Source organism: Homo sapiens, chromosome 1 (assembly GCF_000001405.40).
Source record: "Homo sapiens chromosome 1, GRCh38.p14 Primary Assembly".
Classification (NCBI taxonomy): Eukaryota; Metazoa; Chordata; class Mammalia; order Primates; family Hominidae; genus Homo; species Homo sapiens.
The window spans coordinates 145549784-145574933 of record NC_000001.11 but is presented as its reverse complement, the minus strand read 5'-3'; the positions used below and the strand labels follow the sequence as shown (position 1 = coordinate 145574933).

The 25150-nt window shown below is 42.1% G+C and overlaps 2 pseudogenes across 2 annotated transcripts in view; one reads left to right on the top strand and one right to left on the bottom strand.

The window, feature by feature from the left end:
- Positions 1 to 2589, top strand: part of NBPF25P (NBPF member 25, pseudogene) — a 35514-nt pseudogene extending 32925 nt beyond the window's left edge. Inside the window, exons 18-20 of the transcript NR_104217.1 lie at positions 2 to 113; positions 726 to 1731; positions 2001 to 2589. The product of NR_104217.1 is annotated as an NBPF member 25, pseudogene (transcript). The remainder of the gene's footprint in view (position 1; positions 114 to 725; positions 1732 to 2000) is intronic.
- A 4843-nt stretch (positions 2590 to 7432) lies between these two features.
- The window catches only part of PDE4DIPP5 (PDE4DIP pseudogene 5), a 61117-nt pseudogene continuing 43399 nt past the window's right edge, over positions 7433 to 25150 (bottom strand). Inside the window, exon 12 of the transcript XR_007066539.1 lies at positions 7433 to 8995. The product of XR_007066539.1 is annotated as a PDE4DIP pseudogene 5, transcript variant X2 (transcript). The remainder of the gene's footprint in view (positions 8996 to 25150) is intronic.

Genomic DNA, 25150 nt, shown 5'->3' with positions numbered 1-25150 from the left:
GAAATTGAAAAGAAGGGGAAGGGGAAGAAAAGAAGGGGAAGAAGATCAAAGAAGAAAAGAAGGAGAAGGGGAAGAAAAGAAGGGGAAGAAGATCAAAACCCACCATGCCCCAGGTGACTTTCAGCAATTGTGGATGCTTAATTCTGTGTTAACACCTGGAGGCAACAGATTCAGGGAAACCAGAGTGTGTTTGATTTCATGTTTTCAACGAAGGCTGAATTACTCCTACTGTCATTGCTGTTGGTTTTCATTGCAGTAGATGTTTAGGTTTCCATTTCTTCCTCCCCTTATCATTTACTAACGTACCATAGGTTGACCATACTTCAAAAGCTGTACTCTCATGGCCGCTGCATCGAATTTTGAGCATATTTTATGGAAAACTATTGAGCTCACTCTTTTCATGATCACAGTTTGCTGTGTGTCATGAGGGCACTAACTCAGAGTGTCCTTTGACTCCCTTACCAGTATGTCACCTGGCCAACTCACTAGGTCACTTTCTCTCTGTCTCTGTCTCTGTCTCTCTCTCTCTCTCTTTCTCTTTCATTGTTTTCTACCTGGCCCCGTTCTATCCCAACATAAAGGCAATAATTTTTTTTTTTTACTTCATTAATGGATCTATCCTTTTTCTTTTCTAACCACTTCCTTATGTTACTTCTGAAATCTAGTGGAGCTCTGTGGTGTTTGATTTTCCCTGGCTGCTTCTTTAGTTTTGTCTCATTTTGCAGGCTCAACGGCGTGCTGATGGAAGTGGAAGAGCCTGAAGTCTTACAGGACTCACTGGATAGATGTTATTCGACTCCGTTAATGTACTTTGAACTACCTGACTCATTCCAGCACTACAGAAGTGTGTTTTACTCATTTGAGGAACAGCACATCAGCTTCGCCCTTTACGTGGACAATAGGTTTTTTACTTTGACGGTGACAAGTCTCCACCTGGTGTTCCAGATGGGAGTCATATTCCCACAATAAGCAGCCCTTACTAAGCCGAGAGGTGTCATTCCTGCAGGCAGGACCTATAGGCACGTGAAGATTTGAATGAAACTATAGTTCCATTTGGAAGCCCAGACATAGGATGGGTCAGTGGGCATGGCTCTATTCCTATTCTCAGAGCATGTCAGTGTCAACCTGTGCTCAGTCTGAAGACAATGGACCCACGTTAGGTGTGACACGTTCACATAACTGTGCAGCACATGCCGGGAGTGATCAGTCAGACATTTTAATTTGAACCACGTATCTCTGGGTAGCTACAAAGTTCCTCAGGGATTTCATTTTGCAGGCATGTCTCTGAGCTTCTATACCTGCTCAAGGTCAGTGTCATCTTTGTGTTTAGCTCATCCAAAGGTGTTACCCTGGTTTCAATGAACCTAACCTCATTCTTTGTGTCTTCAGTGTTGGCTTGTTTTAGCTGATCCATCTGTAACACAGGAGGGATCCTTGGCTGAGGATTGTATTTCAGAACCACCAACTGCTCTTGACAATTGTTAACCCGCTAGGCTCCTTTGGTTAGAGAAGCCACAGTCCTTCAGCCTCCAATTGGTGTCAGTACTTAGGAAGACCACAGCTAGATGGACAAACAGCATTGGGAGGCCTTAGCCCTGCTCCTCTCAATTCCATCCTGTAGAGAACAGGAGTCAGGAGCCGCTGGCAGGAGACAGCATGTCACCCAGGACTCTGCCGGTGCAGAATATGAACAATGCCATGTTCTTGCAGAAAACGCTTAGCCTGAGTTTCATAGGAGGTAATCACCAGACAACTGCAGAATGTAGAACACTGAGCAGGACAACTGACCTGTCTCCTTCACATAGTCCATATCACCACAAATCACACAACAAAAAAGGAGAAGAGATATTTTGGGTTCAAAAAAAGTAAAAAGATAATATAGCTGCATTTCTTTAGTTATTTTGAACCCCAAATATTTCCTCATCTTTTTGTTGTCATTGATGGTGGTGACATGGACTTTTTTATAGAGGACAGATCAGCTGTCTGGCTCAATGATCTACATTCTGAAGTTGTCTGAAAATGTCTTCATGATTAAATTCAGCCTAAACATTTTGCCGGGAACACTGCAGAGACAATGCTGTGAGTTTCCAACCTCAGCCCATCTGCGGGCAGAGAAGGTCTAGTTTGTCCATCACCATTATGATATCAGGACTGGTTACTTGGTTAAGGAGGGGTCTAGGAGATCTGTCCCTTTTAGAGACACCTTACTTATAATGAAGTACTTGGGAAAGCGGTTTTCAAGAGTATAAATATCCTGTATTCTAATGATCATCCTCTAAACATTTTATCATTTATTAATCCTCCCTGCCTGTGTCTATTATTATATTCATATCTCTACGCTGGAAATTTTGCGTCTCAATTTTTACTGTGCCTTTGTTTTTACTAGTGTCTGTTGTTGCAAAAAGAAGAAAACATTCTCTGCCTGAGTTTTAATTTTTGTCCGAAGTTAATTTTAATCTATACAATTCAAACCTTTTGCCTATCACTCTGGATTTTTGGATTGTTTTTTACATTCAGTGTTATAATATTTGATTATGCTGATTGGTTTTGGTGGGTACTGATGCGAATTAATAAAAACATTTCATTTCCATGTTTATTTTCTAATCTCTTCCACATTGTAGGCTATGTTTACCATACGTAGCAGAATGTATTTACATTTCTTGGTTCTAGTCATTTGTATTCTTCGTGTGTGTGTGTGTGTGTGTGTCTGTGTGTGTGTGTCTGTGTGTGTGTCTGTGTGTGCCTTTGGCATTTAGGAACGGTTGTATAGCTCATGTTAAATATTGCACTAAAAATGTTTTTGATGGTTTTCCTCCCTTTGAACTAGACACACTTCTAATATTTGGTTTATAGTTTTAAATTATAACTTTCAGCATCAAATATTTCCATACAACAGTCAATTACATGATGTGTTTTCTTTTTCCTACCTCCTTTACCTGCCACTTCTCATAATAGTATTTGAACCTAAACATATACCGGTGACATTCTGTGATTATCATCTTGCCCCTACCTTGGTTTTTGGTTTAGATCCACAATGAAATATATTAACGCTCATGAGCTATTCAAAAGTGAATGTCACAGTCGTCACTTGCTGAGTGGTACTCATCCTTAACAGAGTCCTCATGAGGGAATCAGGTCTCGCTGAGTTTAGCATGTTTAATAATCTTTTTTCACGGTCTTGATACATGAATCGCATTACTAGATATAAGGTGCTTGTCCAAAATGATTTTTCTGGAGTTTTTAGGAGATATTGTCATCCTTGGGGGACATACATGGTGTATGTTCTCATTGTGGGATTCTATTTTGTTCTACCAGGACCTCTAATTTCTGCCAGTTACTTCATTCATTTGTTCTCTTCACCATGAGTCTCCAGAGGATACTTCCATGGTCCACGCCTCCCCATCTCCCAGCAATTCTGCGTTTCCAAGATTGGCACCTCTGGTCCTCTGCACGGTGAAGCCCCTTCCTTTCAATTCCCCAGTAGCCAGTGCTCTAATCCTCCAGGTCTCAGGCATGATCTATGTTTCTCCACACTCGCTTTCTGAGGAGAGTTTTGCCTGGGTTCTATCATGAACAGGCCCTCCCTGCTGTCCTGGCCTCTATTTGCATAGTGTTTCCTGCTCCCTCTGCCGTCGTGTGGCTCCCAGTCCTGGCTAAAGAAAATCACCTGAGGGCCACAGTGTTCCCTAGCCCTGGTGTTTAGGGGCAGGATTATGGGTGAGATTTTTGAGTCTCTAAGTTGACTCCTACGGCTCTGAAGTGTATGTTGAGAAATTCAGCTGTTATCATCCTAGGTGGACTTGCTCCCTCCTATCCTCCTACTTCAAATGCAGAACTTCAATCGTTTACAAAAGAAGACTGAATCATATAATAGAACACACCCTTATTCATTGGCTGGCTTCACCAATCATCTCATGGCTGAACTTATAAAAATACAATCTTAGCCACATACCTATGAAATGTATATGTGTGTGTATATATATACATGAATTTGCTTCTGAGATTATGGAGGCTGAAATTCCCAAGATGGAAGGAAAGCTGGATACCCAGGAAAGCATTTGTTTCCCATTAGGCCTCTTAATTCTCTCCTGGCCCTTGATGGATTGCATGAGGCCCACCCCTATTAAGGAGGGCAATCTGCTTCACTTAGTCTGCCCATCCCAATGTTAATCATATCTGAAAGACTCTCTGGAACACAACCAGAATCATGTTTGGCCAAATGTCCTGGCACCCTGGTGCTCGGTCACAGTGACAACTACAAGTAACTATCACACATGCCCTTTGTCATATTGGTGATTTCCACTGTTTTTCTCCCAAACTGCAGCTTATATTTGTCCTCTTAATACTGTTGAGCAAAAACTTTTAATTTTTATAAAGTCGAATTTATCAATGTTTTCTTTAATGGTTTGTGTTTATTGATAATAAAGAACACTTTGCCTAACTCTGTGTCATGAAGATTTTGTCTTATATTTTCTGCTATACTTTTTCTAGTTTTATAGTTTATATTTAGTTGCATAATCCATTTTGAGTTAGTTTTTGAGTTAGTATTGAGGTTCAGGTGAATTTTTTTCCTTTGGGGATAAAAAAAAAAAAAACCAAATTGTGTAAAAAAAAGTTGTTTCTACACAATTTGTTGACAAGAGAATGCCTTCTCCACTGAATCATATTTGCACCTTTGTCATTCCATTGGGTGGTTGAGACTGGTGAGAGGACTGTCCTGGTGTTTGGACAGAGAGACAGGGCATGAAGTAGGGTGGTTCTTATGGGAAAAATTAAGGAAGACACATTTTTCCATGAGGAATAGGAAATCCCCAAGCACAATTGGGGGTACCCTCTACCAGCATGTTGTAGCACACTCATCTCTGCTCTACCTGTCCTGCTGCAAAAGCTTGGGTGTGCATAGACACTGAGGTTGAGTGGTGTCTTTGGGCATTTTGAGCATTGACACCAAAGTTCCAGCATCAAATCTTAGAATATCAAGCAGCCAGATGGATCACCTGAGGTCAGGAGCTCACGACCAGCCTGACTAACATGGTGAAACCCCATCTCTACTAAATACAAAAAAATTAGCCAGGCATGATGGTGCATGCCTGTAATCTGAGCTACTTGGGAGGCTGAGACAGGAGAATCGCTTGTGTACCTGGGAGGTGGAGGTTGCAGTGAGCTGAGATCACACCATTGCACTCCAGCCTGGGCAACGAGAGCAAAACTCTATCCCCCCGCAAAAAAAATAAATAAAAATAAAAGAATATGAAGCAGCCAAAGAAGCAGGAAAACATGACACATAATGAAGAATCTAATAATCTAGTTGAAATTGACAGACATGTTGGAAATAGAAGGAAAGGACATTAGAGCAGTTAGAATAATTGTATTTTAATTAAATGGGGAGGTTGAAGATTTTTTAAATATCAAATTCTGTAAATAAAAAGTATGATTTACAGTCTGAAATGGAAGAAGGCAGTGGATTAAACATTGCAGAAGAGAAGATTATTGAACTAGAAGGAATAGAAGTTGAAACTAACATAAATGAAACACACAGTAACAAATGACTTGAAAACATAAAAAGACCATCGGCGTCAAAACTTTAAACCCCCAAGTATAGGGCTAAATGGAATCCCTGAAGGGCGTGTAGTGGAGAAGAGAGACAAAGATATTTAAAACATACTGGATGAAAGATTTAGAAGCTCCATGGAAACCATAAACTTCAAATATTACAGAAATATGATTATTCTAAGAACAAGAAACATGAAGAAAACTTCACCAAGGAACGCCTTAATCAAATCCATCACAACCAGTGATAAAAAGGAAATCCTAAAAGGAATAAAAAGGGAAAGAACATGTTACATACAGAGCACTAAATATAAGGATGGCATAAGATTTCTCATACAAACAAGAAGTTTGCAATAAAGAACTTAAAAAAAGAAAAACTGTCACCTACAATTCTACACCTGGCCAAATTATCTTTTAAAAATAAACATGAGAAAAAGTATTTTTGAACAGAAAACAAAATGATCTCAATTTGCAGATGGTGTGATCCTATGCATAGAAAATCCCAAATAATACCTACAGATGCAAACACACATACATGCACACAGAGGCCAGACACACACACACACACACACACACACACTCACATACACACACTACTAGAGTTAATAAGCGAATTCAGCAAACTTTCAGCAGACAATCAGTTGTGTTAGCAATGAACAATCTGAGAAGAAAATTGACACAATGATTTCATTTATAATAGCACTTGTAAGAATAATATGCCTGGGAATAAATTTGTTCAAGAAGGTGCCGTACTTGTACACAGACAACTACAGAACATTGCTCGAGGAGATTCAGGAAGACCTAAATCAATGGACAGACATCTTGTGTCCATGGGTTGGAAGTTGTAACATGGTTAAGATAAAAATACAACTCAAAGCAACCCACAGATTCAATACAATCCTATCAAAAAGTGGCCTTTTTTACAGGAATGCCTAACAAGAACTTCATATTCCTAAAAAATAGTGTGTCCCCCCAAAACAAAAGCAATCTTGAAATGCAAGAAGAAACATTTTCTATTCCAAAGGTCTTTAACTGCTCTAAGCAGTACTTGGTAGTCTTCAATATATAGGCTTTCACATCTTTTTTTTTCTTCTTTTGTTTCTGCACAGGATCTCACTCTTTCACCCAGGCTGGAGTACAGTGGCACAATCACAGCTCACTGCAGCATGGAATTCTCAGGCCTATGACATCCTAGGGCCTCATCCACTGATTCCTGGGACTACAGGCTCACACCACCAAACCCGGATAATTTTTCTGATTTTCAGTGAGATGAGGGCTCACTATGTTGCCTAGGCTAGTTTCAAGCTTCTGAGATCAAGCAACCCTCTTGCCACAGCCTTCCAAAGTGCTGGGATTTGAAGCCAAGCCTGGCTGGCTTTCACATCTTTTCTATGTAGTTTATATTTCTGGATGCCATTGAGAGTCTGGCTGGCTTTCACATATTTGCTATGTCGTTTATATTTCTTGATGTTATTGTAAATGTTTATTAAAGGAATTTTTAAAAACTTTGTTTTGGCCAGGCGCGGTGGTCCACGCCTGTAATCCTAGCACTTTGGGAGGCCGAGTTGGGTGGATCATAAGGTCAGAAGATCGAGACCATCCTGGCTAACATGGTGAAACCCCATCTCCACTAAAAATACAAAAAAAACATTAGCCTGGCGTGGTGGCGGGCGCCTGTAGTCCCAGATACTTGGGAGGCTGAGGCAGGAGAATGGTGTGAACCTGGGAGGTGGAGCTTGCAGTGAGCCAAGATGGTGCCACTGCACTCCAGCCTGGGAGACAGAGTGAGACTCCATCTCAAAAAAAAAAAAAGTTGTATTAAAATTATATATTTAAGGAATTACATATATATTTATATATATAATACATATCCTTAAATTATATATATTTAAGGAATACAACCTGAGGACTACATATACATATACATAATGAACTAATGCCTACTAGGTGAGGGGCTGCCTTGTGAGCAAACCCAAGGTCCCTGGCTTATGAAGCCTTTGTCTAGAAGGATGGAGGGATCAGCAAGGTGGGCACACAGCAGGTTCTGTCTTTGGTGTGGGCATCTGCCCACTCGGGTCTCTGGCAATACTAACCAGGCTTCACGATGGGTGAGGTGAGCTAGGAATGGGAAAGTGGATGACTTCAGATCCAGAGACTGCAGTTGTCACCTGGGGACCTGGCGTAGGCGTGGAGGAGTCTCCCACTGACTTGGCCGTGGGTCAATGCCCAAACATGCACAAGGACGGGACTCTCGGCCTCAATGCTTTAGGAGCCCCCAGTCTTCTAAAGAGGGTTTGTGGTGGGGAAGAATGTTCAACAAAACAGAAGAGTTATGGGTACTCTAGCTTGGCAACGGAGAATACTTCCTTGTGCTACTAAATGGCAATATTTGACAATTACGGATGACACAATTGAGCAACAGCTTTCACTGTTTAACAAGCAGTGTCTCTGGAACACTGGGTTAGTGCTGTCGGATGTTGACTGAAAAGTCAGTGGTTTGAGCCCATCCAGTCATATTAATGTTTCTAGCTGATGTGACCTTCCATCTGAATAGTCTCTTCCTTGGACCAAATATCTCTTAAAGCTTCTCTTCTTCTTGTCTCTTGTCTATTTTCTAAGATGCCTCTTTGTTGCTTGGGGCAAAAAAAGTCCATTTTTAATCCACACCCAACAAACATCTACCCTTACGTATCCTGGTTTTTAGGGTTTTGAGTTTGTTGTTTGTTTTCTCAGCTTCTCATATTTGGAATACTGGAAATTCCTAAAGTGGAGAATGACAGAACGTGAATCACAGCTATGGTGAAGCCACAGGCTCTGGATGAAAAACCTAATCTGCCAGGGTTTGAAGTTAAACACATTAATCTTCTGTGCCTCCATTTCTATCTGTCCAATGGGCTAAATCAGAACACTTAGGTTGTCCAGTGTTTAAATGAGCCGTGCAGGAAAAGCATGGAGCCAATGCCTGTCACGTAGTAATTGGTCAACACGCATGAGCTCCTATCAGTGCCATGGTCTCCAGCATTTCCATCACGCTTTGATCTTTGAAATGTCCTTCTTGATATGAATGGATCATTCCTCAAACATTCTCTAACTGATGGCCATGAAATTGCTCCAATGTGTATTATTACAAATACAACTGCAGGGACCAGACTGACACATGTATCTGTCGTGCATCGCTTGTCTATTTCTCTGTAGACACCTGGAGATGGAATTGTCAGACCAAAGTATTTATACATTTTTGATTTTGCTAATTTCTGTCTAAATTACTGTGAAAAGAAAATATAACAGGTCATACCTTTAACATTTTTTGAGAATTATTTTTTTCTCCATCTTCTGGCCAAAACTGGGAAGTACTTGCCTACCATTTCCTCTGAACTCACTTTTGCCAACATTTGTGTAGTCATACAGTGGGATCACATTGTATGCAAGACATCAAACTCAAATCCTTAAATGAAAGCGATTAACATGACTGTGTAAAAATTTATCTTCAAAATACAATGAATACATATATACACATACTTATATGGGAAAGGAATTATTTGGATACTTTATCAAAGTTATATATACTTGAAAATTTGTTTAGTAAAATAGCATTCCCCTTGTGTACTCCCAGAGTTTCATCACATAGAAGCAATTATTTCATTATTTATCTCCTTATGTCTAAATAGATATTATTACTTTTTGATTTTCAAGTTTAGGCACTACCTCTCCTTCACATACTTGCTCATCACCACCACCCCCAAACACGCCTCTCACCACCTTACCCTCCAACACGTTTGTGTCCTCGTTTGCTGGGTCAATTGCTACATTGTTATAACTTGTATATTTTATTCAGAGTTCAGTCACATTGGATATACATAGCAGGAATGAGAGGCCAGTATCTTCAGGGACTCTCTCTCAAGTAGATAAGCTTCAGAGATTTTTGTAGTCTTTGGTCACTCTCCCCATCTTTTTCCTATTCCAGGTAAGTACTGGATCTGATGGGCCCAGCTCAGGTCAGGCACTCTCTCCTTGAGCAGGGGAGAGCGGGACATCTTCATGTGCAGTACCAGGAAGACACTGTCCAAAGAGGGACAGGTAGTTCTTAGACAGAAAAGTCTGTCTGGGGTACAGGTAGGCAAAACAAGGACACACACACAAAAATTAGTCTGTTCTGTGAGGGGAGCATGCAGTAGAGGGTGGATTCAGAGTGGGAGGGGAGAGTTTTGAGAGATATGGGCCATGGATATCACTCTGTGGGCCGGAGCCACACAAGACGGTTGGGGTCTCTCAGGGCAGGGAGCTGAGGAGGATCTGCCCTCCCCAACCTGGGAGACTGGTGAGGGGACTGTCCTGGTCACCAGACAGAAATGGGGTCTGGGCCAGGGCAGTTCTGGTGGGAAAGAAAGAACAGGACATCTCCTTAAGGAAAGGTCCTGAGTCAGGTCTTGGCAGGGAGGGAGGTTACCTTGCTCATTGGCAGCTGAAGATGGTTGGCCAGATGAGGGCACTGAAATCCATGTCCTCTAAACTTGTAGTTCAGTAAAAGAACGACAGCAGTAAAGGGTCTTTAGGAAGAGGAGGTGGAAGACCTGATTTGGGTTGGGGGCTCCAAGAAGAATGTCTGCCTTGCTGTGCAGAAGCCTCTGCATAACCTCCCTGGTCCCCTTGCTCAGTCTCCTGGCCAGACCCCTGTGAGCCCTGGAAGTGCACAGTCAGCTCGGCCAAGGCATCTCCAGCCAGGACTCATCCCTGGGCATTTCTGTGGCCTTGGGTGCCCTGGCCTCCTCCAGGCCCTGTCTTGCAGGCAATCATCCTGCTAGGGAAGGGGGAAAGGAGGCTACTTGACAGTTAACTCTGAGCAGCTCCACAAGGTCCTGACTTAGCTCCTAGTCACTTGCAAACCTATATACCCCCATCTCATCCCCCAAATGATGAAAAGAAACTTTGCAGGACTCATGCCAGACAAATAGGGTGGGACCATTCTGTAGAGCCAAGTTCTCAGGACATCAATAAGAGATGGAAACCACCTGCTGGAAGGTGCCACAGTGGGAACTTTGGGGCCAGGGAGCAGTCACTGAACTGTCAGGGTGAATCCTGGCTCCTGGCCCTCACACACCCTTTCTCCCCCTCCCTCCTTCTCTCCTCCCTCCTGTCTGCTCTTTCCCCTCTCTCTCCTGAATCCCTCAGGTACCTTCCATGGGCCCTGACCCCTCCTTTTCAGAGGCTCCAAAGTGAGCCCTCAAAACACTTGGTAACCTTGGATATTTCCAAAACTGGAGAGACTTGACCACAGCATTTTTATGAGCTAGGAAGGTCCTTCAGAGCTCTTGCCTAAATTTTTCTGCTGATGAGAAGAGAACAAGAGTTTCCATCTGATCTGGTCCTAAGGCAACTTCTCCTTGGAGCAGAGTCTGGGCAGGAAGAAGGGGGTTGCCCAGGGCCCTGGACTTGCCCCTCCCAGCTGCTCTGCTCCTCTCCCCTTCACTGCGGGAGGCTGGCCAGGGATCAGGAACCTCTATTCTCCACAGATGCTGGGATTCCAGGCTCAAATCTAAATATTGGCTGATTTAGGAGGCTAAGGGAGGCAATTCCCTGGAGGGAGGTGTCAGGATTTGGGACAAGAGCAGCATCTAGTTGTCATCCACAGAGACCCCAAGGACAGGAATCCACTGGTAGCCGGTTGGAGGGGATCCCATGAAAACAAGATGAAACGCGCCATTAGTACTGGACCCAAGATCAGGAGATGAAAAACTGCACTGTCCTAAGGGATGAAGGAATTAGGGAATCCTGGAAGTAAAGTTTTTCATATAGGTCATTTCTTCCAAAGAGACATAGGGCAATGGCCCAATGACGTGAACAAAAGAAAACTCGGGGTCTAGGATTGAGGGGAGGCAGCCTTTTTAGTGGAGACCTGTGACCTGGAGGCCCAGGGTCACCCTGAGAGGGGAGGGGTCTTGCTGGTTGCTGGGTCCGCGACTCCAATTGCACACAGCCAGTGGCATGGAGGGTCTGTGACCACGATTGGGCAATTTCCCCCATTCTGCTTATGGAGCAAGAGAGGAACCTCACTGGAATTATACAGAAAGGTTCCAGTGAGACTTGAACTCTGATCACTGTATTCAGAGTCCAAAGTGCTCACCATTACACCATGGAACCTCACACTAGCTTATAACTGGAGGTAACTGAGTTCATACTTAGCAGCCATAGTTCCCACACACCTATGTTAAGGCATTTCTTCTGATCCCTCAAGCAACACCAAAGAAGGTGGACCTGCAAGAGAGGAGTCATCCTCTTTCTTTCTTTCTCTCTGCCCTCTCCTTTGATCAACTTTTATCGTTTCATTTGCACCTCAGAAAATGAGGCAAAATCCAGTTTGGGCTTAGGGCCAGAGAAGAGCCCTTGAGGCCTCCCTCTGGAAAACATACTCTCTCAGTTTACCAGAGTTTCCTGTACCAAGGGGAAATTTCCGCAAACAGTAGTGTTATATTCTTTTTGCCTTCCCTCTTTTCCCTTTGCCCAGGGAGGCCAGATGATTGTGAGAACAGGACTTGGGACTTCCTGGGTGTCTTGCCCCCTTCCTCCATGTGATAAATAATGGCTGATACCAAGCAAGTGGGATTGGGAGGCAGGGAATCTTTCATTTTCTTCTTCATATACTTCTATGCATTTGTTTCGTTGGTTTTGGCAAGATTTTCTCACCAGAAATGGAGATTTGTTGGATTTAAAATAAAAAGTAATCAGCCATGTTTTACATTTCTATAAAACACTCAAACCAGGCCATACTCCCCTGCTGTGCCTCAAAATCAACCATAAACTGTCGAGGTCAGGAGGCAGGGCCCTGACACTTAAGCACAGTGTGTTTCCTCAGAATTGGCCAGGTTGACGCCACTCCAATTTCTCAATATACCACAACCCATTAATTGCGGTTTTTAAAAGTGTACATGTATTTTTACCAAAACCCCAGGGCTTCAGTGTTCTCAGCACACAGAAAGACAATCATTGAGACATTGAGTATTGCTGAGGAAGAAGGCTTTAATCAGGTGCTGCAGCTGAGTAGACAGGAGATGAGTCTCAAATCTGTCTCCCTGATTGACTAAAGTTAGGGGTTTATATAGTGCAGAAGAAAAGTTAACTGTGTGTGGGAAAAGAGGAACTAGGGAGGGGTGAGGAAGCACTCGTGATGAGTGAGGGGACTGGCATCTCATTGTCTGGATGCTGTGATTGGCTGAGTTTCAGGTCTCTGATGTTTTTTGAGAGGCCTGAGAGTCCTTTCCTGAGGAAGGAACTCAGAGAAAACAAATGTAAGTTTGTTTTATAGAATGGCTTGACCTCAGGAGTTTGAAACCAGCCTGGGCAATATGGTGAAACCCTGTCTCTACCAAAATACAAAAAGAAAAAGAGGGTTGCTTCCAAGATGGCTGAATAGGAACAGCTCCGGTCTACAGCTTCAAGTGAGATAGATGCAGAAGACAGGTGATTTCTGCATTTCCAACTGAGGTACCTGGTTCATCTCACTGGGACTCGTTGGACAGTGGATGCAGCCCACGGAGGATGAGCCAAAGCAGGGTGGGGTGTTGCCTCACCCGGGAAGTGCAAGGGGTTGGGGGATTTCTTTTTCCTAGCCAAGGGAAGCTGTGAGTGACTGTACCTCGAGAAGCAGTACACCCCTGCCCAAATACTGTGCTTTTTTCCACTGTCTTTGCAACTGACAGACCAGGAGATTCCCTCTTGTGCCTGGCTCGGCAGGTCCCATGCCCATGGAGCCTTGCCTGCTGCTAGCACAGCAGTCTGAGATCAACCTGGGACACTGGAGCTTGGTAGGGGGAGGGGGTTCTGCCACTGCTGAGGCTTGAGTATGTGGTTCTATGGTCACAGTGTAAATAAAGTGGTAGGGAAGCTCGAACTGGGTAGATCCCACTGCAGCTCAGCAAGGCCTACTGCCTCTAGATTCCACCTCTGGGGGCAAGGCATATCTGAATAAAAGGCAGCAGACACCTTCTGCAGACTTAAACGTCCCTGCCTGACAGCCCTAAAGACAGCAGTAGTTCTCCCAGCATGGCATTTGAGCTCTGATAATGGACAGACAGCCTCCTCAAGTGGGTCTCTGACCACCGTGTAGCCTAACTGGGAGACACCTCCCAGTAGGGGCCGACAGACACCTCATACAGGTGGGTGCCCCTCTGGGACAAAGCTTCCAGAGGAAGGATCAGGCAGCAATATTTGCTATTCTGCAGTCTCTGCTGGTGATACCCAGGCAAACAGGGTCTGGAGTGGACCTCCAGCAAACTCCAACAGACCTGCAGCTGAGGGACCTGCCTGGTTAGAAGGATTAACAAACAGAAAGGAATAGCATCAACATCAACAAAAAGGACATCCACACTAAAACCCCATCTGTAGGTCACCAACATCAAAGACCAAAGTAGTACATAAAACCACAAAGATGGGGAGAAACCAGAGCAGAAAGGCTGAAAATTCCAAAAACCAGAACACCTCTTCTCCTCCAAAGGAACACAACTCCTCACCAGCAAGGGAACAAAACTGGATGGAGAATTAGTTTGATGAGATGACAGAAGCAGGCTTCAGAAGGTCGGTAATAACAAACTTCTCCGGGCTAAAGGAGCATGTTCTAACCCATCAAAAGGAAGCTGAAAACCTTGAAAAAAGGTTAGCTGAATGGCTAACTAGAATAAACAGTGTAGAGAAGAGCTTAAGTGACCTGAAGGAGCTGAAAACCACAGTATGAGAACCTCGTGAAGCATAAACAAGATTCAATAGCCAATTCAATCAAGCAGAATAAAGGATATCAGTGATTGAAGATCAAATTAATGAAATAAAGCGAGAAGACAAGATTAGAGAAAAAAGAGTAAAAAGAAATGAACAAAGACTCCAATAAATATGGGACTATGTAAAAAGACCAAATCTACATTTGATAGCTGTACCTGAAAGTGACAGAGAGAATGGAACCAAATTAGAAAACACTCTTCATGATATTATCCAGGAGAACTTCCCCAACCTAGCAAGGCAGGCCAACATTCAAATTCAGGAAATACAGAGAAACCACAAAGATGCTCATTGAGAAGAGCAACCCCAAGACACATAATTGTCAGATTCACCAAGGTTGAAATGAAGGAAAAAATATTAAGGGCAGCCAGAGAGAAAGGTCAGGTTACCCACAAAGGGAAGCCCATCAGACTGACAGCGGACCTCTCGGCAGAAACACTATAAGCCAGAAGAGAGTGGGGACCAATATTCAACATTCTTAAAGAAAAGAATTTTCAATCCAGAATTTCATATCCAGCCAAATGAAGCTACATAAGTGAAGGAGAAACAAACTCCATTACAGACAAGCAAATGCTGAGAGACTTTGTCACCACCAGACCTGCCTTACAAGAGCTCCTGAAGGAAGCACTAAACATGGAAAGGAACAACCAGTACCAGCCACTGCAAAAACATGCCAAATTGTAAAGACCATCTATGCTATGAAGAAACTGCATCAATTAATAGGTGAAATAAGGCTGGGCACAGTGGCTCACACCTGTAATCCTAGCACTTTGGGAGGCTGAGGTGGGCGGATCACAAGGTCAGGAGATTGAGACCATCCTGGCTAACACTGTGAAACCCCATCTCTACTAAAAATACAAAAACAGAACTAGCCAGGCATGGTGGCGGGTGCCTGTAGTCCCAGCTATTCGAGAGGCTGAGGCAGGAGAATGGTGTGAACCTGGAAGGTGGAGCTTGCAGTGAGCCGAGATCACACCACTGCACTCCAGCCTGGGTGACAGAGCGAGACTCCATCTCAAAAAAGAAAAAAAAAAAAAAAAAGGTGAAATAACCAGCTAGTATCACAATGACAAGATCTAATTCACACATAACAATATTAACCTGAAACGTAAATGGGATAAATTCCCCAATTGAAAAACACAGACTGGCAAATTGGATAAAGAGTCAAGACCCAGGGGCGGTTCCAAGATGGCTGAACAGGAACAGCTCCAGTCTACAGCTCCCAGCATGAGTGACGCAGAAGATGGGTGATTTCTGCATTTCCAATTGAGGTACTGGGTTCTTCTCACTGGGGCTTGTCAGACAGTGGGTGCAGGACAGTGGGTGCAGCGCACCGAGCATGAGCTGAAGCAGGGCAAGGCATCGCCTCACCCAGGAAGCGCAAGGGGTCAGGGAATTCCCTTTCATAGCCAAGAAAAGCTGTGACAGATGGCACCTGGAAAATTGGGTCACTCCCATGCTAATACAGCACTTTTCCAATGTTCTTAGCAAATGGCACGCTAGGAGATTATATCCCGTGCCTGGCTCAGAGGGTCACACACCCATGGAGCCTCGCTCCTTGCTAGCACAGCAGTCTAAGATCGAACTGCAAGGTGGCAGCGAGGCTTGGGGAGGGGTGCCCACCATTGCTGAGGCTTGAATAGAAAAACAAAGCTGCAGGGAAGCTTGAACTGGGTGGAGCCCACTGCAGCTCAAGGAGGCCTGCCTGCCTCTGTAGACTCCACCTCTGGGGGCAGGGCATAGCCAAACAAAAGGCAGCAGAAACCTCTGCAGACTTAAATGTCCCTGTCTGACAGCTTTGAAGAGAGTAGTGGCTCTCCCAGCATGGAGTTTGAGATCTGAGAACAGACAGACTGCCTCCTGAAGTGGGTCCCTGAATCCCGAGTAGCCTATCTGGGAGGCACCCCCCAGTAGGGGCAGACTGACACCTCACACGGCCAGGCACCCCTCTGAGACAAAACCTCCAGAGGAATGATCAGACAGCAATATTTGCTGTTCTGCAGCCTCCACTGCTGATACCCAGGCAAACAGGGTCTGGAGTGGACCTCCAGCAAACTCCAACAGACCTGCAGCTGAGGGTCCTGACTGTTAAAAGGAAAACTAACAGACAGAAAGGACATCCACACCAAAACCCCAACTGTATGTCACTATCATCAAAGACCACAGGTAGATAAAACCACAAATATGGGGAAAAAACAGAACAGAAAAACTGAAAATTCTAAAAATCAGAGTGCCTCTCCTCCTCCAAAGGAATGCAGCTCCTCACCAGCAATGGAACAAAGCTGGACAGAGAATGACTTTGATGAGTTGAGAGAAGAAGGCTTCAGAAGATCAAACTACTCCGAACTAAAGGAGGAAGTTTGAACCCATCGCAAAGAAGTTAAAAACCTTGAAAAAAGATTAGATGAATTGCTAACTAGAATAACCAATGCAGAGAAGTCCTTAAAGGACCTGATGGAGCTGAAAACCATGGCATGAGAGCTACATGATGAATGCACAAGCTTCAGTGGCCAATTCGATCAACTGGAAGAAAGGGTATCAGTGATTCAAGATCAAATGAATGAAATGAAGCGAGAAGAGAAGTTTAGAGAAAAAAGAATAAAAAGAAATGAACAAAGCCTCCAAGAAATATGGGACTATGTGAAAAGACCAAATCTACGTCTAATTGGTGTACCTGAAAGTGACGGGGAGAATGGAACCAAGTTGGAAAACGCTCTGCAGGATATTATCCAGGAGAACTTCCTCAATCTAGCAAGGCAGGCAACATTCAAATTCAGGAAATACAGAGAATGCCACAAAGATACTCCTCGAGAAGAGCAACTCCAAGACACATAATTCTCAGATTCACCAAAGTTGAAATGAAGGAAAAAATGTTAAGGGCAGCCAGAGAGAAAGGTCGGGTTACCCACAAAGGGAAGCCCATCAGACTAAAAGATGATCTCTCGGCAGAAACTCTACAAGCCAGAAGGGAGTGGGGGCTAATATTCAACATTCTTAAAGAAAAGAATTTTCAACCCAGAATTTCATATCCAGCCAAATGAAGCTTCATAAGTGAAGGAGAAATAAAATACTTTACAGACAAGTAAATGCTGAGAAATTCTGTCACCACCAGGCCTGCCCTAAAAGAGCTCCTGAAGGAAGCACTAAATATGGAAAGGAACAACTAGTACCAGCCACTGCAAAAACATGCCCAATTGTAAACACCATCGATGCTAGGAAGAAACTGCATCAACTAATGAACAAAATAGCCAGCTAACATCATAATGACAGGATCAAATTCACACATAACAATATTAACCTTAAATGTAAATGGGCTAAATGCTCCAATTAAAAGACACAGACTGGCAAATGGATAAAGAGTCAAGACCCATCAGTGTGCTGTATTCAGGAAACCCATCTCACGTGCAGAGACACACATAGACTCAAAATAAAGGGATGGAGGAAGATCTACCAAGCAAATGGAAAACAAAAAAAGGCAGGGGTTGCAATCCTAGTCTCTGAAAAAACAGACTTTAAACCAACAAAGATCAAAAGAGACAAAGAAGGCCACTACATAATGGTAAAGGGATCAATTCAACAAGAAGAGCTAACTATCCTAAATATATATGCACCCAATACAGGAGCACCCAGATTCATAATGCAAGTCCTTAGAGACCTACAAAGAGGCTTAGACTCGCACACAATAATTATGGGAGACTTTAACACCCCACTGTCAACATTAGACAGATCAACAAGACAGAAAGTTAACAAGGATATCCAGGAATTGAATTCAGCTCTGCATCAAGTGGACCTAATAGACATCTACAGAACTCTCCACCCCAAATCAACACAATATACATTCTTCTCAGCACCACACTGCACCTATTCCAAAATTGACCACATAGTTGGAAGAAAAGCACTCCTCAGAAAATGTAAAAGAACAGAAATTATAACAAACTGTCTCTCAGACCACAGTGCAATCAAATTAGAACTCAGGATTAAGAAACTCACTCAAAACCACTCAATTACATGGATACTGAACAACCTGCTCCTGAATGACTACTGGGTAAATAATGAAATGAAGGCAGAAATAAAGAGGTTCTTTGGAACCCACGGGAACAAAGACACAACAAACCAGAACCTCTGGGATGCATTTAAAGTAGTGTGTAGAGGGAAATTTATAGCACTAAATGCCCACAAGAGAAAGCATGAAAGATCTAAAATCGACACCCTAACATCACAATTAAAGAACCAGAGAAGCAAGAGCAAACACATTCAAAAGCTAGCAGGAAGCAAGAAATAACTAAGATCAGAGCAGAGCTGAAGGATACAGAGACATAAAAATCCCTTCAAAAAAATCAATGAATCCAGGAGCTGGTTTTCTGAAAAGATCAACAAAATGGATAGATCACTAGCAAGACTAATAAAGAAGAAAAGAGAGAAGAATCAAATAGACGCAATAAAAAATGATAAAGGGGATATCACCACCTATCCTACAGAAATACAAACTACCTTCAGAGAATACTATAAACACCTCTATGCAAATAAACAAGAAAATCTAGAAGAAATGGATAAATTCCTTGACACATACACCCTCGCAAGACTAAACCAGGAAGAAGTTGAATCTCTGAATAGACGAATAACAGGCTCTGAAATTCAGGCAATAATTAATAGCTTACCAACCAAAAAAAGTCCAGGATCAGATGGATTCACAGCCGAATTCTATCAGAGGTACAAGGAGGAGCTGATATCATTCCTTCTGAAACTATTCCAATCAATGGAAAAAGAGGGAATCCTCCCTAACTCATTTTATGAGGCCAGCATCATCCTGATACCAAAGCCTGGCAGAGACACAACAAAAAAGGAGAATTTTAGACCAATATCCCTGATGAACATCGATGCAAAAATCCTCAATAAAACACTGGCAAACTTAATCCAGCAACATATCGAAAAGCTTATCCACCATGATCAAGTGGGCTTCATCCCTGGGATGCAAGGCTGGTTCAACATACACAAATCAATAAACGTAATCCAGCATATAAACAGAACCAATGACAAAAACCACATGATTATTTCAATGGATGCTGAAAAGGCCTTCGACAAAATTCAACAGCCCTTCATGCTAAAAACTCTCAATAAATTAGGTATTGATGGGACGTATCTAAAAATAATGAGAGCTATTTATGACAAACCCACAGCCAATATCATACTGAATAGGCAAAAACTGGAAGCATTCCCTTTGAAAACTGGCACAAGACAGGGATGCCCTATCCCACCACTCCTATTCAACATAGTGTTGGAAGTTCTGGCCAGGGCAATCAGGTAGGAGAAAGAAATAAAGGGTATTCAATTAGGAAAAGAGGAAGTCAAATTGTCCCTGTTTGCAGATGACATGATTATATATCTAGAACCCCCCATCACCTCAGCCCAAAATCTCCTTAAGCTGATAAGCAACTTCAGCAAAGTCTCAGGATACAAAATCAATGTGCAAAAATCACAAGCATTATTATACACCAATAGCAGACAAACAGAGAGCCAAATCATGAGTGAACGCCCATTCACAATTGCTTCAAAGAGAATAAAATACCTGGGAATCCAACTTACAAGCGATGTGAAGGACCTCTTCAAGAAGAACAACAAACCACTGCTCAATGAAATAAAAGAGGACACAAACAAATGGAAGAACATTCCATGCTCATGGATAGGAATAATCAATATTGTGAAAATGGCCATATAGCCCAAGGAAATTTATAGTTTCAATGCCATCCCCATCAAGCTACCAATGACTTTCTTCACAGAATTAGAAAAAACTACTTTAAAGTTCATATGGAACCAAAAAAGAGCCCGCATTGGCAAGTCAATCCTAAGCCAAAAGAACAAAGCTGGAGGCATCACGCTACCTGACTTCAAACTATACTACAAGGCTACAGTAAACAAAACAGCGTGGTACTGGTACCAAAACAGAGATATAGACCAATGGAACAGAACAGAGGCCTCAGAAATAACAGCACACATCTACAGCTATCTGATCTTTGACAAACCTGACAAAAATAAGCAATAGGGAAAAGATTCCCTATTTAACAAATGGTGCTGGGAAAACTGGCTAGCCATACGCAGAAAGCTGAAACTGGATCCCTTCCTTACACCTTATACAAAAATTAATTTAAGGTGGATTAAAGACTTAAATATTAGATGTAAAACCATAAAAACCCTAGAAGAAAACCTAGGCAATAACATTCAGGACATAGGCATGGGCAAGGACTTCATGTCTAAAACACCAAAAGCAATGGTAACAAAAGCCAAAATTGACAAATGGGATCTAATTAAACTAAAGAGCTTCTGCACAGCAAAACAAACTACCATCAGAGTGAACAGGCAACCTACGGAATGGGAGAAAATTTTTGCAATCTACTCATCTGACAAAGGGCTAATATCCAGAATCTACAAAGAACTCAAACAAATTTACAAGAAAAAAACAAACAACCCCATCAAAAAGTGGGCAAAGAGTATGAACAGACACTTCTCAAAAGAAGACATTTATGCAGCCAACAGACACATGACAAAATGCTCATCATCACTGGCCATCAGAGAAATGCAAATCAAAACCACAATGAGATCATCTCACACCAGTTAGAATGGTGATCATTAAAAAGTCAGGAAACAACAGGTGCTGGAGAGGATGTGGAGAAACAGGAACACTTTTACACTGTTGGTGGGACATAAACTAGTTCAAGCATTGTGGAAGACAGTGTGGCAATTCCTCAGGGATCTAGAACTAGACATACCATTTGACCCAGCCATCCCATTATTGGGTATATACCCAAAGGAATATAAATCATGCTGCTATAAAGACACATGCACATGTATGTTTGTTGTGGCACTACTCACAATAGCAAAGACTTGGAACTAACCCAAATGTTCATCAATGATAGATTGGATTAAGAAAATGTGGCACATATACACCATGGAATACTATGCAGCCATAAAAGAGGATGAGTTGATGCCATTTGTAGGGACATGGATGAAGCTGGAAACCATCATTCTCAGCGAACTATCGCAAGGACAAAAAACCAAACACCGCATGTTCTCACTCACAGGTGGGAATTGAACAATGAGAACACTTGGACACAGGAAGGGGAACATCACACACTGGGGCCTGTTGTGGGGTGGGGGGGTCAGGGGAGGGATAGCATTAGGAGATATACCTAATATAAATGACAAGTTAATGGGTGCAGCTCACCAACATGGCACATGTATACATATGTAACAAAGCTGCATGTTGTGCACATGTACCCTAGAACTTACAGTATAATAAATATATATATATATATATTGAAAAACAAAAAAAAGAGTCAAGACCCATCGGTGTGCTGTATTCAGGAGACCCATCACACGTGCAGAGACACACATAGGCTCAAAATAAAGGGATGGAGGAAGATCTACCAAGCAAATGGAAAGCAAAAAAAAGCAGGGGTTGCAATCCTGGTCTCTGATAAAATAGACTTTAAACCAACAAAGATCAAAGAGACAAAGAAGGCCATTACATAATGGTAAAAGGATCAATTCAACAAGAAGAGCTAACTATCCTAAATATATATGCACCCAATACAGGAGTGCCCAGATTCATAAAGCAAGTTCTTAGAGACCTAAAAAGAGACTTAGACTCCCACACAATAATAATGGGAGACTTTAATACCCCACTGTCAATATTAGACAGATCAACGAGACAGAAAATTAACAAGGATATTCAGGACTTGAACTCAGCTCTACACCAAACAGACCTAATAGACATCTATAGAACTCTCCACCCCAAATCAACAGAATATACATTCTTCTCAGCACCACATCACACTTATTCTAAAATTGACCACATATTTGGAAGTAAAACACTCCTCAGCAAATGTAAAAGAATAGAAATCACAACAAACTGTCTCTCAGACCACAGTGCAATCAAATTAGAACTCAGGATTAAGAAACTCACTCAAAACCACACAACTACATGGAATTAACCTGCTCCTGAATGACTACTGGGTAAATAATGAAATGAAGGCAGAAACAAAGAGGTTCTTTGGAACCAATGAGAACAAAGACACAATGTACCAGAATCTCTGGGATACATTTAAAGCAGTGTGTAGAGGGAAATTTATAGCAGTAAATGCCCACAAGAGAAAGCAGGAAAGACCTAAAATCGACACCCTAACATCACAATTAAAAGAACCAGAGAAGCAAGAGCAAACACATTGAAAAGCTAGCAGAAAGCAAGATATAACTAAGATCAGAGCAGAACTGAAGGAGATAGAGACACAAAAAACCCTTCAAAAAAATCAATGAATCCAGGAGCTGGTTTTTTGAAAAAAATCAACAAAATGGATAGACCCGCTAGCAAGATTCATAAAGAAGAAAAGAGAGAAGAATCAAGTAGATGCAATAAAAAATGAAAAAAGGGATATCACTACTGATCCCACAGAAATACAAACTACTCTCAGAGAATACTATGACACCTCTATGCAAATAACCTAGAAAATCTAGAAGAAATGGATAAATTCCTGGATACATACAGCCTCCCAAAACTAAACCAGAAAGAACTCAAATCCTGGAATAGACCATTAACAGGTTCTGAAATTGAGGCGATAATTAATAGCCTACCAAGCAAAAAAATTCCAGGACCAGACAGATTCACAGCCAAATTCTACCAGAGGTAAAAAGAGAAGCTGGTACCATTCCTTCTGAAACTATTCCAATCAATAGAAAAAGAGGGAAACCTCCCTAACTCATTTTATGAGGCCAGCATCGTCCTGATACCAAAGCCTGGCAGAGACAAAACAAAAAAAGATAATTTTAGGCCAATATCCCTAATGAACATCAATGTGAAAATCCTCAATAAAGTCCTGGCAAACCGAATCCAGCAGCACGTCAAACAGCTTATCCACCATGATCAAGTTGGCTTCATCCCTGGGATGCAAGGCTGGTTCGACATACACAAATCAACAAATGTAATCCATCACTTAAACAGAACCAATGACAAAAATCACATGATTATCTCAATAGATGCATAAAAGGCCTTTGACAAAACTCAACAGCCTTTCATGCTAAAAACTCTCAATAAACTAGATATTGATTGAACATATCTCAAAATAATAAGAGCTATTTATGACAAGCCCACAGCCAATATCATACTGAATGGGCAAAAACTGGAAGCATTCCCTTTGAAAACTGGCACAAGACAGCGATGCCCTCTCTCACCACTCCTATTCAACATAGTATTGGAAGTTCTGGCCAGGGCAATCAGGCAAGAGAAAGAAATAAAGGGTATTCCATTAGGAAAAGAGGAAGTCAGATTGTCCCTGTTTGCAGATGACATGATTGTATATTTAGAAAACCCCATCGTCTCAGCCCCAAATCTCCTTAAGCTGATAAGCAACTTCAGCAAAATCTCAGGATACAAAATCAATGTGCAAAAATTAGAAGCATTCCTATACACCAAGAACAGACAAACAGAGAGCCAAATCATGAGTGAACTCCCATTCACAATTACTACAAAGAGAATAAAATATCTAGGAATCCAACTTACAAGGGACGTGAAGGACCTCTTCAAGGAGAACTACAAACCACTGCTCAATGAAATAAAAGAGGACACAAACAAATGGAAGAACATTCCATGCTCATGGATAGGAAGAATCAATATCATGAAAATGGCCATACTGCCCAAGGTAATTTATAGATTCAATGCCATCCCCATCAAGCTACCACTGACTTTCTTCATAGAACTGGAAAAAAACTACTTTAAACTTCATATGGAACCAAAAAAGGGCCCTCATAGCCAACACAATCTCAAGCAAAAAGAACAAAGCTGGAGGCATCACGCTACCTGACTTCAAACTATACTACAAGGCTACAGTAAACAAAACAGCATGGTACTGGTACCAAAACAGAGATATAGACCAATGGAACAGAACAGAGGCCTCAGAAATAACACCACACATCTACAACCATCTGATCTTTGACAAACCTGACAAAAACAAGCAATAGGGAAAGGATTCCCTATTTAATAAATGGTGCTGGGAAAACGGGCTAGCCATATGTAGAAAGCTGAAACTGGATCCATTCCTTACACCTTACACAAAAATTAACTCAAGATGGATTAAAGACTTAAATGTAAGTCATAACACCATGAAAACCCTAGAAGAAAACCTAGGTAGTACCATTCAGGACATAGGCATGGGCAAAGACTTCATGATTAAAACACCAAAAGCAATGGCAACAAAAGCCAAAATTGACAAATGGGATCTAATTAAACTAAAGAGCTTCTGCACAGCAAAACAAACTACCATCAGAGTGAACAGGCAACCTACAGAATGGGAGAAAATTTTTGCAATCTACTCATCTGACAAAGGGCTAATATCCAGAATCTACAAAGAACTTCAACAAATCTACAAGAAAAAAAAAAACCATCAAAAAGTGGGCAAAGGATATGAAGAGACACTTCTCAAAAGAAGACATTTATGCAGCCAAGAAACATATGAAAAAATGCTCATCATCACTGGTCATCAGAGAAATGCAAATCAAAACCACAATGAGATACCACTCATGCCAGTTAGAATGACGATCATTAAAAAGTCAGGAAACAACTGATGCTGTAGAGGATGTGGAGAAATAGGAACGCTTTTACACTGTTGGTGGGAGTATACATTAGTTCAACCATTGTGGAAGACAGTGTGGCAATTCCTCAAGGATCTAGAACTAGAAATACCATTTGACCCAGGAATCTCATTACTGGGTATATACCCAAAGGATTATAAATCATGCTACTATAAAGACACGTGCACACCTATGTTTATTGAGGCATTATTCACAATAG